General features: G+C 36.4%; 1 protein-coding gene across 7 annotated transcripts in view; it reads right to left on the reverse strand.

Annotated features, from left to right (window-relative positions):
* The window catches only part of TMLHE (trimethyllysine hydroxylase, epsilon), a 123942-nt gene that overhangs the window by 5311 nt on the left and 98608 nt on the right, over nucleotides 1-20023 (reverse strand). For 6 of the 7 annotated variants that reach the window (XM_047442235.1, XM_047442234.1, NM_018196.4 and 3 more), the window contains 3 exons: nucleotides 19665-19944; nucleotides 17352-17471; nucleotides 12577-12813 (listed from right to left, as the gene is read on the reverse strand). In XM_047442235.1, the coding sequence (XP_047298191.1) occupies nucleotides 12577-12813; nucleotides 17352-17471; nucleotides 19665-19944 (637 nt within the window). Of the gene's footprint in view, nucleotides 1-12576; nucleotides 12814-15516; nucleotides 15777-17351; nucleotides 17472-19664; nucleotides 19945-20023 lie in introns of those variants that run through there. The other variant, XM_017029620.3, reaches the window with a different exon arrangement.

The raw sequence follows: 20023 nt of genomic DNA on the forward strand, positions 1-20023 counted from the left end.
GAATCAAATGCAAAAATAGGCCGGGCGCGATGGCTCACGCCTGTAATCCCAGCACTTTGGGAGGCCAAAGCGGTCAGATCACCTGAGGCCAGGAGTTCAAGACCAGCCTGGCCAACATGGCGAAACCCCATCTCTACTAAAAATACAAACAAAACAAAACAACAAAAAAATTAGCCAGGCGCGGTGGCACGCGCCTGTAGTCCCAGCTACTTGGGAGACTGAGGCAGGAGAATCACTTGAACCTGGGTGGCGGACGCTGCAGTGAGCCAAGATCGCGCCACTGCACTCCAGCCTGGGCGACAGAGCGAGACTCTGTCTCAAAGAAAAAAAAAAAAAGAAAGAAAGAAAGAAAGAAAAAGAATATAATAGTCCATCCTCCCAGGCTTCAAGGAGCCATGCCTGGAGGGAGAATGGAGTGAGGAAGCACAGTCTTCACCAGGCTGTTGACACCCATTGTCATTTCCAGAAACTTCTAGTGCTGGGTTAGGCATTTGTGAAAATATTATTTAATTTACTTATTTCATCATCCCAGAAGGAAAGGTGTTATTAACCTCCTTTTACATTTAAGGCAACTGAAACTTAGAGACCTGCCACAGAGTTCATACGTAGCAGAGAGGTTTTGAAATCAGGTGTCCTTAATTCTTTAACTCATTGTTTATACCAGAGAACAGAAAAATGATCGTAATTCCTGTGTACGCTTGTTCATGAGAGCAACATTTTTACAGATCACACTTACAATCTTTTGACTTCAAACTGAGATTTGCAGTTTAGAAATGTTTCCATATACACTATCTGATTGACCCTCTGCATGATAACCACGTGAGGTAAGTAGTACAGCTGTTATTGTCTTACTTTATAGATAAGGAAAATAATGATAAGACCTTGTGATTTGTCCAAGCTTACATGGAATTTGGTATTCACTATTTATATTAGATGGTGGTGTTTTCTAAAGCCAACAGAGAAAGTAGCAGGAAAAGTCTATTACACATAAGCAAAATGGTTGTGCAATACTTTGGATTAGAATAAGACTATTTCTGGACTTTGGCACAAAGTGATGCCATCATATTATTGTGCAGTTTTTCCTTTTTTTCCTGCTTTGATATGAAGCAAGAGAGACGTGGGAGTAGGGGAAAGCAAATAAAGCAGGCATTTATCTGACAAGAAAAGCTAGGAAGATTTAACAAAGTTATCCTTCTTCTTAGTTGACAGACAAGTATTTCCCAAGAGAGCTCCATAATTGAGCAGACGATGCATTTGATGGATTTGTGTATTGTGGTGTAAGTGAAAGCTGGTGGGCTTTCAGATAGGTAGATAAATAGGCTTTCAGTTAGATCACCATTACAATCTCAGTTCAGGTGTGTGACCTTGGAGGAGCTATAGAAATTATAAAAATGCTAGAAGAAAACCTCGGGATGACTCTCCAGGATAATGCTCTGGGAAAAGATTTTATTCCCCAAAAGCACAGGAAACAAAACCCAGAAATAGACAAATGAGACTGGATTAAACTAAAGAGTTTCTGTGAGGCAAGGGAAACAATCAACAGAGTGAAGAAACAACCCACAGTATGGGAATATGGCCATTGTAGAATGGCTGTTATTACAAAGACCAAAAATGACAGACGTTGGCAAGTATGTGGAGAGAAAAGAACTCTTATACATTCAATAAACGGTGCTGGGGAAACTGGATGTCCACATGCAGAAGAATGAAATTAGACCCTTTTCTTACAACATATACAAAAATCAACTAGAAATGGATTAAACGCTTACATGTAAGACCTGACACCGTAAATCTACTAGAAGAAAACACATGGTATAACTCTATGATATTGGTCTATACAATTACCTTTTGGATATGATCCAAAAGTATAAGCAACGGAAGAAAAACTAGGTAAATGAAATTGCATCAAACTGAAAAGCTTCTGCACAGCAAAGGAAACAAAAGAATGAAGAGACAACCTGCAGAATGGGAGAAAGTATTTGCAAACTATACATCTGATAAGGGGTTAATATCTAAAATATTTGAGGAACTCAAACAACTCAATAGTAAGAAAACAAATAACCTGATTTAAAAATGGGCAAAGGATCTGGATAGACATTTCTCAAAAGAAGACATACAAATGGCCAAGAGGTATATGAAAAAGTGCTCAACATCACTAGTAATCAGATAAATTCAAATTAAAACCACCACGGGATATCATCTCATACGCCTTAGGATGGCTATTATTAAAAAGACAAAAGATAACAATGTTGATGAGGATGTGGAGATAAGTGAACCCTTGCACACTGTTGGTGGGAATGTGAATTAGTGCAGCCATTATGGAAAACAATACGGAGGTTTCTAAAAAAAGCTAAAAGTAGAACTACTACATCATCCAGCAATCTCACCACTGGGTATATACCCAAAGGAAATGAAATCAGTATGTCCGAGAGATATCTTCCATGTTCTTTGCAGAAATATTCACAATAGCCAAGATATAAAATCAATCTAGGCAGAATACATGGGAGTGTATATAGAGAAAATGTGGTATGCATAAAAAGTGGAATACTATTCATCCTTGAAAAAGAAGAAAGTCCTGTCATTTGTGACAACATGGATGAACCTGGAGAACATTAAGTGAAAATAAGCCAGGCACAGAAATATCAATACTGCATGATCTCACTCATATGTGTAATGTAAAAAAAAAGTTGATATCATAGAAATAGAGAGCAGAATGGTGGGTACTAGAGGCTGGTGGGTTGTGGAGTAGTGGTTGGGTGGTTGGGGATATGTTGCTCAGAGGATACATAATTTTAGATCAGAGAAATAAGTTCAAGTGATCTATTTTTCCATGTGATGACTATAGTTAATAACAATGTATCGTAATTTGAAAATTTCTAAGAAACAGTCAATCAACGGAGTGAAGAGATAACTCACAGAATGTGAGAAAATGTTTGCAAACTATGCATCTACAAGAGATTAATACCCGGAGTATATAAGGAACTCAAACTCAATAACCAAAAAAGACATATTCCCTTAAAAATGGACAAAAGTTCTGAATAGACATTTCTCCAAAGAAGGCAGACAAATGGCAAATGGGTATATTTTTAAATGCTCCACATCACTAATCATTAGGGAAATGCAAATCAAAACCACAATATCACCTCACCCCAGTTACAATGGCTATCATTAAAAAGACAAAAAATAGGCTGAAAGTAAGGATGGTTAGTATGTACAAACACAGAGAGAATGAATAAGATCTAGTATTTGGCAGCACAATAAGGCAACTATAGTTAACAATAACTTATTGTATATTTAAAAATAACTAAGAGAGTAGAACTGGAGTGTTCCTAACACAAAGAAATAATAAAGGCTTGAAATGATAGATACCTCAATTATCCTGATTTGATCATTACATATTGTATGCCTGTATCAAAACATCACATGCACTCCATAAATATATACAACTATTATTTACCCATAATAATTAAAAAAATCAAAATTTAATTTAATAACATAAAATATAATAAAGTGATCTTAAAAGAAATTTGCCCGTGGTTAGATATTACTTGTTACACTTTAATTGATGATTTCTATTATAATTTCATAGTACTTAGAATATATATATATATTAGAAAATATCATCTATAGGATTTTTGCTTTCATGAGGGTAATGATATTTTAAGCCTAAAATATTAGAATTTTCAATAATTTTCTCTAGTGTTTGGAAATTATTTTAATCCTCTGTTTAGTGCTCAAAAATGCTGTTCATTTGTGACTGATTAGTTAAACTTTCTAATAAAGTGATTTTACACTCTTTATGTTAAAGAAACAACAAATGCTGGTGAAGATGTGTAGAAAGGGGAAATCTTATACATTGTTGATGGGAATGTAAACTAGTACAGGCAATATGGACAACAGTACTGAGGTTCCTCAAAAAATTAAAAATAGAACTAGCATATGATCCAAAGAACTCACTACTGGGTATTTTAAAAGGAAATGAAATCAGTATGTTGGAGAGATACCTGCACTCTCATTGTGATGGTTCAATTTACGAGTCAGCTTGACTGGATTGAGGGATGCCAAGACGGCTGTTGAAACATTGTTCCCTGGGTGTGTCGGTGAGAGTGTTTCCAGGGGAGCTTGGTGTGTGAGACAGTGGACTGCAACAGGTAAGATCCACTTTCAATGCGGGCGTGCACTGTCCTGTTAGCTGGGAGCCTGGTTGGGACAAATAGACAGAAGAGGAGGAATTCTCTCTCTCTGCTCATCCTATCTCCCTTCTGCAGCCAGATTTCTTTCCTCCTCCTGTCCTTGGACATCAGACTCCAGTTTCTTCCACTTTTGGACTCTGGGACTTGCATCCACAGCCTCCAGTGGGCTCTTAGGCCTTTGGCCTCAGACTGGGGTCTGTACTCTCAGCTTCCCTAGTTCTGAGGCTTCCAGACTTGGAGTGAATCGTGCTACCAGCTTCTTCGGTTCTGCAGCTTGCAGATGGCCTATTGTGGGACTTCTCCATCTCTATAATCATCTGAACCAACTACACCTCATAAATCCTCTCTCATATATCCTATTGGTTCTGTCTCTCTGGAGAACCTTGACTAACACACCCATGTTTATTGCAGCACTATTCACAATAGCCAAGATATGGAATCAACATAAGTGTCCATCAACAGATGAATGGATAAAGAAAATGTGGTGCATATTCACAATGGAGTACTATTCAGCCATAACCAATAATGAGATCCTGTCATGTGTGACAACATGGATAAGCCTGTAGGACATTACATTAGGTGAAATAAGCCAGGCACAGAAAGACAAACTTTGCATGTGCTCACTTATTTGTGTGAGCTAAAAATTAAATAATTGAAATGAAGATAGAGAGTAGAAGGGAGGCTGGGAAGGTTAGTGGGAGGGTGAGGAGGAAGTGGGGAAAGTTAGTGGGTACAAAAAATAGTTAGAAAGAATGAATAAAGCCTAGTATTTGCTAGCACAACAGGGAGACTGTAGTAAAAAAATAATTTAATCATACTTTTAAAATAACCAAAAGAGCCAAATCATGAGTGAACTCCCATTCACATTTGCTTCAAAGAGGATAAAATACCTAGGAATCCAACTTACAAGGGATATGAAGGACCTCTTCAAGGAGAACTACAAACCACTGCTCAATGAAATAAAAGAGGACACAAACAAATGGAAGAACATTCCATGCTCATGGGTAGGAAGAATCAATATCGTGAAAATGGCCATACTGCCCAAGGTAATTTATAGACTCAATGCCATCCCCATCAAGCTACCAATGACTTTCTTCACAGAATTGGAAAAAACTACTTTAAAGTTCATATGGAACCATAAAAGAGCCCACATCGCCAAGTCAATCCTAAGCCAAAAGAACAAACCTGGAGGCATCACGCTACCTGACTTCAAACTATACTACAAGGCTACAGTAACCAAAACAGCATGGTACTGGTACCAAAACAGAGATATAGACCAATGGAACAGAACAGAGCCCTCAGAAACAATGCCGCATATCTACAACTATCTGATCTTTGACAAACCTGACAAAAACAAGCAATGGGGAAAGGATTCCCTATTTAATAAATGGTGCTGGGAGAACTGGCTAGCCATATGGAGAAAGCTGAAACTGGATCCCTTCCTTACAGCTTATACAAAAATTAATTCAAGATGGATTAAAGACTTAAATATTAGACCTAAAACCATAAAAATCCTGGAAGAAAACCTAGGCAATACCATTCAGGACATAGGCATGAGCAAGGACTTCATGTCTAAAACACCAAAAGCAATGGCAACAAAAGCCAAAATTGACAAATGGGATCTAATTAAACTAAAGAGCTTCTGCACAGCAAAAGAAACTACCATCAGAGTGAACAGGCAACCTACAGAATGGGAGAAAATTTTTGCAACCTACTTGTCTGACAAAGGGCTAATATCCAGAATCTACAATGAACTCAAACAAATTTACAAGAAAAAAACGAACAACCCCATCAAAAAGTGGGCGAAAGATATGAACAGACACTTCCCAAAAGAAGACATTTATGCAGCCAAAAAACACATGAAAAAATGCTCATCATCACTGGCCATCAGAGAAATGCAAATCAAAACCACAATGAGATACCGTCTCACACCAGTTAGAATGGCGATCATTAAAAAGTCAGGAAACAACAGGTGCTGGAGAGGATGTGGAGAAATAGGAACACTTTTACACTGTTGGTGGGACTGTAAACTAGTTCAACCATTGTGGAAGTCAGTGTGGCGATTCCTCAGGGATCTAGAACTAGAAATACCATTTGACCCAGCCATCCCATTACTGGGTATATACCCAAAGGATTATAAATCATGCTGCTATAAGGACACATGCACACGTATGTTTATAGCTGCACTATTCACAATAGCAAAGACTTGGAACCAACCTAAATGTCCAACAACGATAGACTGGATTAAGAAAATGTGGCACATATACACCATGGAATACTATGCGGCCATAAAAAAGGATGAGTTCATGTCCTTTGTAGGGACATGGCTGAAACTGGAAACCATCATTCTCAGCAAACTATCGCAAGGACAAAAAACCAAACACCGCATGTTCTCACTCATAGGTGGGAATTGAACAATGAAAACACATGGACACAGGAAGGGGAACATCACACACCGGGGACTGTTGTGGGGTGGGGGGAGGGGGGAGGGATAGCATTAGGAGATATACCTAATGCTAAATGACGAGTTAATGGGTGCAGCACACCAACATGGCACATGTATACATATGTAACAAACCTGCACGTTGTGCACATGTACCCTAAAACTTAAAGTATAATAATCATAAAACATAAAATAAAGTAAAATAACCAAAAGAGTATAATTTGGTTGTTTGTAATACAAAGATAAATGCTTGAGGAGATGGATACTCCATTTTTACCCTGATGTGATTATGTACTGCATACCTATATTAGAACATCTCATCTAACCCATAAATATATACACCTACTATGTAACCACAAAAATAATAAATAAAAATAAGATAAATATAAATTTAAAAGTTGATGTTATAGAGGTAGAGAGTAGAACAGTGGTTACCAGAGGCAGGGGAGGCGAGGAGGGAAGGAGAGATGGGAAGAGGTTGGTCACTGGGTACAAAGTTACAGTTATGGTTAGATAGGAGGATTAAGTTCTGGTGTTCTATTGCACAATAGGGTGACAATAGTCGACGATAATATGTTGTATAGTTCAAAATAGCTAGAAGAGATGATTTTGAATGTTCTCACTAAAAGAATAAGAGGGGGAATACTACAATCAATCTATGCCTATATATTTGATAACTTATATGAACCAATTTCTTAAACCCACATGGTAAAAAAAAACAAACTAATTCAAAGAAAAGTAGATAATCTGAATAGCCTGGCATGCATTAAAGAAACTGAATCTGTAATTTAAAACTTTTCAAGAAAGAGAACTCCGGGCCAGACAATTTCACTCATGAATTCTATCAAACATTTAAGTAAGATGTAATACAAATTTTACAGTCTCTTTCAGAAAATTAAGGAGAGAAAATGACCCCACTCATATTATGAGGATAGCATCATCCTAATACCAAACTCAGACAGAGATATTACGAGCAAAAAACAAAATAGCAATATCTCACATAAACATAGGTACAAATATTCTTACTAAGATATTAGCCAATCAACTCTAGCAATGTATAAAAAAGATAATGCATCAAGATCAAGTGGAGTTTATCCCAGGTATTCAAAGTTGGTTCAACATTCAAAAATCAATCAATGTATTTTATCATATTGTCATACTAAATACGCAACATCGAATGATCATATAAATAAATGCAGAAAAGGCATTCAACAAAATTCAATATTAATTAATGATAAAATTCCCAACAAGTTAGGAATAGAAGGAAATTTCCTTATTCTAATAAAGGCTATCCATGGAAAACCTACAGTGAACCACTGAGTAATTTTCCCCTAAAATCAGAAATAAGTCAAGGATGTCCTTTCTCACCACTACTATTCACTGTTAGTCCTGGAAGTCCCAGCTAGTGCGATAACACATGCACACACACACGCACACGCGCACACACACACACACACAGAGAGAGAGAGAGAGGGAGAGAGAGAGAGAAATGAAAGGCATACATATTATAAAGGAGAAAAATATACCCCATTATGTTGAAAACCCCAAATAATGTACAATAAAACTCCAAAAGACTCTTCCAGAAGACTCCTAGACTTGATAAAGAACTTCAGTAAAGTTTCAGGATACAAAATCAATGTACAAAACACAGTAGCATTTCTCTACACCAATATCATTCAAGCTAAGAACCAAATGAAGAACCCATTTACAATAGCCACAAAAAATAAAACACCTAGGAATACATTTAATCAAGGAGGTGAAAGATCTCTACAAGAGGAACTACAAAACACTGATGAAAAAATTGTGTATGACACAAATAAATGAAAACACATCCCATGCTCATGGATCAAAAGAACCAATATTATTAAAAATGACCACACTGCTCAAAGCAATTTACAGATTCAGTGCAGTCTCTATCAAATTACCAACACAATTTTTCACATAATTAAAAAAACTTAAAATTCATATGAAACCGAAAGAAGAGTCTGAATAGCCAAACCAATCCTAAGCAAAAAGAACAAAGCTTGAAGTATTACATTCTGACTTTGAATTATACTACAAGGCTATAGTAACCAAAACGTCATGATATTGGTATAAAAATAGACATATAGACCAACGGAACAGAATAGTGAACCCAGAAATAAAGTACCTATTAACAACTGATCTTCTGCAATATTGACAAAATTAAACAATAGAGAAAGAACACCCTCTTCAATATACGGTGCTAGGAAAACTGGCTAGCCATATGCGGAAGAATGAAACTGGACCCCTGTCTCTCACCATATACATGAATTAACTCGAGATGGATTAAAGATTTATACTTTAGACATGAAACTGTAAAAATCCTGTGAGAAAATGTAGGAAAAATTCTTCTGGACATTGGCCTGGCTTAGGCAAAGAATTTTTGACCAGGTCCTCAAAAGCAAATGCAACACAAACAAAAATAAACAGACGGGACTCAGTTAAGCTAAAAACCTTCCACACAGCAAAAGAAACAATCAACAGAGTAAACCTACCTAATGAGAAAAAATATTTGCAAATTATGTATCTAACAAAGGCTAATATCCAGAATCTACAAGAAACTCCAACAACTCAACAACAACAACAACGACAAAAACAAAAACAAAAAACAAGTAACGCCATTAAAAAGTAGGCAAAGGGCATGAATGGGTGTTTTTTGAAAGACATACAAGTGGCCAACAAACATATGAAAGATGCTCAATATCACTAATTATCAGAGAAATGCAAATTAAAACCAAACAATACTATCTTACACCAGTCAGAATAGCTATTATTTAAAAATCAAAAAACAACAGATGTTGGTGAGGATGTGGAGAAAAAAGTAATGCTTATGCACTGTTAGTGGGAATGTAAATTATCACATTTATGGAAAACAGTATGGAGATTTCTCAAAGAACTAAAAATAGATTTCTCAAAGAACTAAACATGGTAAAAAATGAAATACCATTTGATCCAGCAATCTCACTACTGGGTATCTACCCATCTGCATTTTACATATACGTGGAATACTATGCAGCCATAAAAAAATAATGAAGTCGTGTGTTTTGCAGTAACATGAGTGGAACTGGAGTACGTTATCTTAAGTAAAATAATTCAGAAACAGAAAGTCAAATATCACATATTCTCACTTGTAAGTGAGAGCTTAACAATGGGTACACATGGACATATAGAGTAGCATAATAGATATTGGAGACTACAAAAGGGTGGGAAGTTGACAAGGGTTGAAAAATTACCTCTTGGGTACAATGTTCCCTCTTCAGGTGATGGGTACACTAAAAGCCCAGACTCCACCACGATGCGATATATGCATGTAAGAAATCTGCACTTGTACCCTCTAAATCCATTTTTAAAATCGAAAAATATCACCGTAAGATACCGCTTCACAGCCACTGGAATGACTATTATAAGCAAACAAAGCAAAGAGCAAACAAGTTTTGGTAGGGCCTGGTGGGAGGTGTTTTCATCATGGGGGCAGGTCCTTCATGGGTGGCTTGGTACCACTCTCATAGTAATGAGTGAGTTCTCCCTCTGAATTCATTGCAAGAGTTGGTCGTTTAAAAGAGTGTGGCATGTCCTTGGAACAGCTACAATTCATACATTGTTGATGACAGTGTAAAATGGTACAAGTACTTTGGTAAAACTTGTTGCAGTTATTTATGAAACTAAGCATTCACCTACTCTATGACCCAGCAGTTCCACTCCTAGGTATTTACCTTAGTGAAATGAAAATGAAAACATATTAAAAAAAACACTTTTACATGAATGTTCACAGCAACTTTATTCATAATAACCTGAAACTGGAAAGAGTCCAGATGTGTATTCATAAAAGAAGAGATAAACAGAACAGGCAAAAATCTAATCTATAGTGGTAAAAGAAAATCAAACTGTGGGTTCCTCTGAGATGTATGTGCAGAAGTATGAGAGTACTTCCTGTAGTGATAGTAATATTTTATATCTTGATAAGGGTTTGGGTTAAATAGGTATATGCATTGGTCAAAACTCAGTGAGTGTATATTTAATATTTTAAACATCATTGCATATACATTGTAACTTTAAAAAGCTGTAAGCAAATATTGAACTCTACTTAATGATATAAATGTTGAAGTATTAGGGAGATATGTACTGATATCTGCAATGTATTATACTTTAAAATTCACTGAAAATAAGATTAACTGATGAATGAATAGATGGGAAGATAGGTGATAAAGCAAGTATAGAAATATCTTAATGGTAGAATCTAGATGTAAGTCTATGGCTTTTCTGTGTTAAATGTTTTCAACTTTTCTATATGTTTAGAAATGTTCATAATAAAATGTTGGGAAAATAGAGTTACTACTCATTGTTTTAGGCACTTAGATATATGAGAGATAACAGAGGGAGAGTTTCCCAGAGGAACTTATCCAAGGGAAGTAAATTAATATTTACACAGTTCCTCCTACAAGCCAGGGGTAAAGGTAAGGATAACAATTTATTTTTAACTTCACAACAAGTGGGCACAGAAGGTATTATTATTGTAACTGGAAACTCATGACTAGCAGGTTAAGTAACTTGTCCAAGGCCAAAAATCAATAAATGGCAGACAGGATTTCACACTGAACTCCTTCTGATTACAAAGCCTGTACTCTTTGTAGTATGTCAAGTTTTGCAGCTATCTTCACCCTGCCTCTTCACCCCATATCTCCTTCCCTGCTTTTTTGTTTTTCCCTAGTACTTATCACAATTTGATATATTATATATTTGCTTATTTATTTTTAATTACTCTGTCGTCACTATAATGAGAATTCCAAGATGGCCAGGAATTTTTGTCTATTGTGCCTACAGTTTCATCTGCAGTGTCAAGAACAGAGCATGACTCTTGGTAGATGCTCATGAAATATTTGCTGAGTAAACTGAATTAATGCACAGTAACAGTTTGCTTGGAATAAGCAGAAGCAGGAGCGGTAATCCATCTGCAAAAATGCATAGTAAAAAGCTTGGCTGCAAGATGCAAAATAATGGGCTCCAGAAACCCAAAGCAGTTTGGAATAGCTAGGGAAGAATGTATGGAAAACATGAATTACATGCTAGAAGAGTAAGAAGGGATCAGATCATACAGAACCTTAAAAGCCATAAGGAAGGACTCTAGTCTTTCTCTGAAAGACACTGGGGAGGTTTAGAAGGATCTTAACATGGGAGCAGAAGATAAGACTCAGCATGAAAAATTAATGGAAGAGGGCTCACAATGGAAGCAAGGACATCAGTTACAACTTTAGCCATGGGAAAGAAAAGTGTTCTCACTGCAAGAAGAGGCATTGTAGATAGAAAGCAGGGGATAGTTTGAGAAAAATATAGGAGATTGAGTTGATAAGACTGGTTGTGTAATATAAGGGAGAGGGAAAAATTAAATATGATGTTTGGTTTATGGCTTGGGAAACTTAGTGGATGGTGGTACCATTCAATGAAAATGGGAAAACAAGTGGAGAAGTAGGTTTAAAATGAGTAGAAGTGATGAGTTCACGTTTGAATATGATATGTTTTATATTCTACAAAATATCTAAGTTGTGATATCAGTAGTCAATTGAATACACAGGTCAAGAGCTTTGCATAAATCTGGGCTGGATACATAAATGTTGTTGGGTAACCTAGCTGTTTGGTCACTGAGGATAATTTAATAACTCTTTTTCATTTAATAATGTTTTCATTTAAAAAATACTACCTCTAATATTTGACCCCACCCCTAAAATAAACCTAGTATTCTTTGGTTGGTGGCTATTTACTATTCCATGGGAATTATAAGAAGAATACAAACTGTTTGATAATAAAAAGCTATAGAATAGCAAGATTAAAATGTAGCAGATATAAGAATCTTAGGGATTTTTGTTACATTAGAAGGCTAATCTTTGGCAAATATATTACAGTTGGGGATAGTTCTTTGATACTCACCTGATCAAATACAGCTCTTTATTCCATGGGTAGATATTTAAGACTGGCCCAATCCCAATCATGTGGTTGTGACATTCTCCAACATCTTCAATATATTCATGCTTCAATGGCACTTTACTGAGGAGTTCAAATTCCTCAGGTGCCTTTTGAAGTACCTGTTCTGCTGCATAGAATCCATCTACTAGCAGTGTCCTGCCACCAGTTCCTTCATGTTTAAGACAATGAAACACTTGAATGCTAAAGAGAGAAAAGAAAATTCTTCTGTTCAGTGGAAGAGAGAACATATCAAAATTCTAGAAATTATATATAAAATGATTACTGAAACTACTTGTCATTTTCTTTTCATTTCCTAATTGGAAATCTCATTTCTTAATTGTTTTTCTCTCATAGGCAGTTGTACTTTTTTGTGTTTTGAAATATTAATGCCACTAGAGGTTTCTTCTAAACATATCTAACATATATTGAAGCTTATATGTGCTGGGCCCTGGGAATACAGGCATGAATAATATATAACCTATATTTTCAAGAAGCTCATAGTCTAGTAAGAAGAACTAAAGCAAATAAATACCAAATAAAATATGATAGGTACTATAATAAAGTTGCATACAAGATATAGTGGGGTCATAAACAAAGGAATGATCTGTTCTAGCGGGGTGTTGTATAAAGAAATGTTTTGGAGAAGAATGAAAATTGTTTTGACTAATCTTAAAGAATGAGCAAGAATTGGAGTAGAAGGAGATTGAGATGAGGAGAAGGCATTCTAGGCGGAGAGAAAGCATGACCAAAGATACCAATGTAAAACAACAAGGAGTAAGAAGTTCCTATTGGCATAGCACAGAGAACCACAAAATGATTTTAAACTGTGAAACTCTACGGCCATATCAATATTTTAAAGAGTCCATTATGTTGATAGTGTGGAACATGGACTGGTGAGAAGCAACGTGACAAAAAACTTGGAAACCAACTTGAACAACTGAAATAGTAAAGAAAAATATTGAGAGCTTGAACTCAGAAAGGGGCGTTATAGAGAAGAAGACACACCTGAGAGATACCGAGATAGAAGTAGCAGAATTTGATAACTGAAGGATAGGCAAGAATCTAGAATAACTCCAGGTTTCTCACTTGGGCACCTGAAAAATGATAATGCTATTTACTAAGACCGAGATTACAGACAGATATGCTGTTGAATGATAATGAGGAAGTATGAGAGGTTGAGGAAGGAGTTCAGTTTAGAGGCATGTTAGAACAGCTAATCATATACAGTTTCTGAATATGTTAACAGGGAAAGGTAAGGTGACTATTAATTGACTGGAAAACTAAGGTAGAATTTTCAAACTTATGAGGGAAAATAAAATTAATAGTAATTTAATCAAATATGCAAAACTAAGAAAAAGTAAAAAGCAAATTAAAATAAGAAATAAACAAAAATATGGAGTAAAATCAAGGACAATCTAATATAATATAAATACAATTAAAAAGAGAAAGGTAAGCCTGGCCATATTGAAATTTCTGTGAAACTTCTAGGTCAGGGTTATTTAGTTACCAGTTAAAGATGTTTAAGGAAGAGAGGTGGATTTTGTTACAAGTGATAGCTAAAGCCAAGAGCATGGAAGAGGTCGTTTGGAGAGATCATTTCAAGTAAGAAAAGAGGGATAAGGAGAAAACCTTGAGGAAGAATAATATTTAGGAAATAGACAAAAGAAGCCAGCAAAGGAGGCTGAGGAAAAATGGTCAGATATATAGGAAGAAAACTAGGAAAGAAGGAATATTTAAGAAATTTAGTAGTGGTTAATGGTATGTCTCAGGGATCAAGTAAGATGACAGTACACACTGGATATGACAATTAGTTGCTGGTGACGTTAGAGAGAGTAACTTTAATTGCGGTGAGGGGTGGGTTGGGAAAACTAGATGCCTATGGGTTTGAGGAGTAAATGGGAAGTGAGAATGAAAATATATTGAATGTAGCTATTATTCTTTTAATAATCTTAGCCATGAAGTGGAAGAAAAAAACATGGCTGTAGCTAAACGGAGATAGAGTCCAAGGAAGTACAAAAATAGAGAATTAAGATATGGGAGGCTGATAAGAAGGAGTCAATAGGTATGGAAAGGCTGAAGATAGAGGAGAGAGAAATCCCCAAGGAAGCTGGAAAGGATGAGATCCAGAGCAAAGATAGCTTTAGAGAGAGTAAAGCATATAACAATGAAGATAGTGATTAAAATGAATAAAATGATGAAAATTATAGCTAATATTTATTGAACACTTAGTTTGTGTCAGGCAGTATGATCATATAATTTAATTCCTTAGCAATGCTAATGGATAGGTTAGTTTGTGTCAGGCAATATGATCATATAATTTAATTCCTTAGCAATGCTAATGGATAGGTTTTATATTACTAGTCCCATTTTACAGATGAGGAAACTGAAGTACAGAGAAATTAAGTTACTTGTCCAAGATCACAAATCTAATACATGTTGAGGCTGGAATGCAAATCTGGGTCTGGTTGATGCCATAGCCTGAACTCTTAAGTGCTATTACCATACTGCTAATTTACTTGGTCCTTGCCATTGATTACAAACAATTAAACTAAAGCCACAAACAGTTGTTTATCTCTGGTGTTGGTCATAAAGGGAAGAGCTAGTCAGTATTTGAACCTCAACCCCTGTACAGCTGCTTCTTATCTCATTTCCTCTTTTTTCCTTCTGTATCCACTAGAATGAGGATGCAGGGTTGTTGATCTCTCCATATATTGATAACATTTATCAGGATATCTAAAAGCTGCTTTGTTCTTCCTTCCCTGAATCAAACATTCTTAAGTTATAAACCCTTAAAGGAAATCAGTGTAACCATGAGCAATTGCATATTATCATCCTCTCATATAGTCTCCATAAATCTATGTGCACTCATTTTACTCATATCTTTGTGTCTCAGGCTCACCATCTAAATGCAGAAGCAAGATCAAGAACACGGAATAACCACAGAGGTGCCTCTACTGAAGAGCAAATGGTAGGAAAATTGAGTATAGTATGTATCATCTTTGGTTCAAAAGCATCTTATTCCGTGTGAAGAAGTTATTCTTCCATCATTCCTCCTCTCCAACTTCTTGTAAATCAGATTCAAATTCTTCTTAATGCCATACTCAAAGCAGCTGTGTTTGCATGACGACCCTTTTGCAATATGTTAATAACTAAATGCAAGAAATCTGTACAAATTCCAAAACTAATGGTTAGGCAATACTTTTTTGGGGGATAATTTATAATTACTTTGAAAAATGTAAAATTACATTTTAATAATTAACAAAATTAGGACTCCATTTATATAGTAAGATGAGTTTTCTTTTTATTTTATTTTATTTTATTTTATTTTATTATACTTTAAGTTTTAGGGTACATGTGCACAATGTGCAGGTTTGTTACATATGTATACATGTGCCATGCTGGTGTGCTGCACCCACTAACTCATCATCTAGCATTAGGTATATCTCCCGATGCTATCCCTCCCCCCTCCCCCCACCCCACAACAGTCCCCAGAGTGTGATGTTCCCCTTCCTGTGTCCATGTGTTCTCATTGTTCAATTCCCACCTATGAGTGAGAACATGCGGTGTTTGGTTTGTTGTTCTTGTGATAGTTTGCTGAGAATGATGGTTTCCAGCTCCATCCATGTCCCTACAAAGGACATGAACTCATCATTTTTTATGGCTGCATAGTATTCCATGGTGTATATGTGCCACATTTTCTTTATCCAGTCTATCGTTGTTGGACATTTGGGTTGGTTCCAAGTCTTTGCTATTGTGAATAGTGCCACAGTAAACATACGTGTGCATGTGTCTTTATAGCAGCATGATTTATAATCCTTTGGGTATATACCCAGTAATGGGATGGCTGGGTCAAATGGTATTTCTAGTTCTAGATCCCTGAGGAATCGCCACACTGACTTCCACAATGGTTGAACTAGTTTACAGTCCCACCAACAGTGTAAAAGTGTTCCTATTTCTTCACATCCTCTCCAGCACCTGTTGTTTCCTGACTTTTTAATGATTGCCATTCTAACTGGTGTGAGATGGTATCTCATTGTGGTTTTGATTTGCATTTCTCTGATGGCCAGTAATGATGAGCATTTTCTCATGTGTTTTTTGGCTGCATAAATGTCTTCTTTTGAGAACTTAAAAATATTTTATTCCTAGGAGTCTGATATAGTTTGGATATTTATCCCCACCAAAATCTCATGTTGAATTGTAATCTCCAGTGCTGGAGGTAGGGCCTGGTGGAAGTGTTTAGCTCATGGAGGTGGATAACTGATGGCTTGGTGCTGTCTTCAGATAGTGAGTGAGTTCCTGTGACAGCTAGCTGTTTAAAAGTGTGTGGCACCTCCTCCCTGACTCTCTCTCACTTGCTCCTGTTTTTGCCATGTGAACTGTTTGCTCCCCGCTCACCTTCCACCATGATTGGAAGCTCCCTGAGGCCTCCCCAGAAGAAGATGCTGCTATGCTTTCTGTATAGCCTGCAGAACCATGAGACAATTAAATCTCTCTTTTTTTTTTTTATAAATTACCCAGTCTCAGGTATTTATTTATAGCAATGCAAGAATGGCCTAATACAGAATCTAAAAACTGAGTTAAGGTATTTCAAAATGATCATGTTTCTAGGGGAAGAGAAAGTCATACAAATCTGCAGGAGCAGATATGATCTTGGTTCGAACAGAATGGAAAATAATTAAGAAACCACTCAAGACTATCACATATAAAGACTTTACACTGTAAAAGTCTAATCCACCTACCCACAGGGCTCTTGAAAATAGGTAGTGTCAGTGTGCCGATCCAGAGCTAGCTTGGTGTACGCAGTGTCACCTCTGGAGAAGTCTGAAGTGAAATACCACATCCTCCCATAAATGGTTTCTCTGTTAGTTGAAATAAAGAAAGACCTGTTAGCTATTTGAAATGTTCATTCTTGTCTTTCAAAACTCCTTCCAATACCTTCTTTAGTTACTCACAAATAACAGTAGATTTTTTTGGTTCCAGAATTTAATCCATAAGGTGAAAATGACAGTTGAACATGCTAGTCTTGACAATTCTGTCACTTATTAACATTCTAGAAAGTTGGGGAGAAAACTGTGGAAGTATAATATTGTATTATGAAAGCTTGGAGAATCATCCCACTCTGATTATGTGCCCAGTTTTCATAGCCTTCATAAATTCAAGGTTCTTTTCTATGCTCACCTTTCTTTCACAGAAAAAGATATAGCTGCTTCTGGAAGTGATTTTTTTATTTTATTTTATTAATTATTATTATACTTTAAGTTTTAGGGTACATGTGCACAATGTGCAGGTTTGTTACATATGTATACATGTGCCATGCTGGTGCGCTGCACCCACTAACTCATCATCTAGCATTAGGTATATCTCCCAATGCTATCCCTCCCCCCTTCCCCCCACCCCACAACAGTCCCCAGAGTGTGATGTTCCCCTTCCTGTGTCCATGTGTTCTCATTGTTCAATTCCCACCTATGAGTGAGAATATGCGGTGTTTGGTTTTTTGTCCTTGCGATAGTTTACTGAGAATGAGGATTTCCAATTTCATCCATGTCCCTACAAAGGACATGAACTCATCATTTTTTATGGCTGCATAGTATTCCATGGTGTATATGTGCCACATTTTCTTAATCCAGTCTATCATTGTTGGACATTTGGGTTGGTTCCAAGTCTAACTTTATTTACTATTTTTATAGCTGTTGTCTTTTATTAGTACCATTTTTTCAATAATGGTGGTCATTTCCTAATATTTTGGATAATCCAATTTGCAAGGATGACTGAAGAGTTCTCATATTATTTATAAGACACAGAAGTGATTAATGTAGATCCTCACTCATCTTTTGGACATGGAGGAATAAAGAAAAGAGAAAAGGATAGTTTGTGTTAGCAAGTATTTAGTGAGACTTGCTGTACCATTGTTGTTGTGTCTCTCCTTGAAGTATACATCATATATTTTGATTTTGTAATTATTTTCCTGTTCGGCTCAAATCTGACTAAAGGTCACTTTAATTCTTTAGCTTTCAAAGTTCATCTTATTTTCTGAACCCTTGAAGTTCAAATAGGAAATGCTCTTCCTTTTGAACTATCATCCCTAAAACTGTCTCAATTTATCACTTACCAGCACAGTTTCTTTCACTTGAAAGTTCTCAAACTGTGATTCAAACTGAATGGCTCACAGATGCTGTTGATTATGCTCTACCAGCACAGGGAAGAAGACCCAGCATACTATCTACTACAAAATGAGCTATATCTGGATCTTATTAAGTAAAAGGAAAGTACTAATTATAATAAAGTAGGTTGACATCACACTTAATACTATAGAAGATCAATCTATATACCACCCAAAAGTGCGTAATGGTAATGAAAAAAACAATGTATTTAGGATTAGGAAACCTGGGCTATTTGAATTCAAGTTCTATTGTTTACTAGTAGAGCACTCCTGGGCAAGACACTTGGTATATTTGAGTGTCAGTGCCTCAGCAGTAAAACGGGGACAAAACACACACTGATCAGGGTTCCTATAATAATTAAAAGAAAATAATGGGTGGGAATGTGCTGGCTGAATGCTATATAGCCTTTTAAGGCAGTGTTATTAACAATCAGTCTCTGAATCAAGCCACAGGAATCACAGAAGGTCAAATTGAACAGATGGGAAAATAGAGGACAGTGGGGGTCGAGGGGGTGTGTGTGTGTGTGTGTGTGTGTAATGGACATGCCTATGGTCACACAACTACTTGATGGTAGAACTCAGACTACTATCCAGTTCTCCTTACAGTCAGTGTTTTTTTCCAGTGTACAATAATACCTGTCACTTGGGATCACTGGGCTAGAAACATATTACCAATGACTCTGCAGTCATCATTATATTTTACACATAAGTGTATTTAGAGATTAGAAATCCAGACCTCAAATAAAGTACTGCAAGTGAGAGTCCCTTATTCATGCTACAAAATATTCTGGATTGAAAACGAGGGTGACCATACCTGTTACATTTATTTATTGGTGTTCATGCTCTGGAAATTAATTATAATACTGTGGATTTTAGGAAACAAATGAATTACCTGATTAAGCTGATCCTTTCTGCCAACTTCTCTGTGTGCTCTTGAGTGGGAGGGACATTTTCTACGAATGCAATTCCATAGAGCAGAAAGTTTTGCAGAAACTTCTTCAGTCCCTCGTTGGTTTCTAAGAAGCTCTGGCAATCTACCGATGGAACTTGGGCTTGCTGGTAGATTTCAGCATTCCATAGTATTCTAGGCTGGATGACTTTTTGTTTCTGCCCTTCATAGCTGTTTTTCACCAGCCAATTCAAATCATATTTAGTCACATGACCATCTGGCCCTTTTAAGGGGAAAAATAAAAGGCACTATAATAATTACAAATAATGTCAATATTTGTAATTGGTTACAACTAGTTAAGA

This window comes from Homo sapiens, chromosome X (assembly GCF_000001405.40).
Source record: "Homo sapiens chromosome X, GRCh38.p14 Primary Assembly".
Taxonomy (NCBI): Eukaryota; Metazoa; Chordata; class Mammalia; order Primates; family Hominidae; genus Homo; species Homo sapiens.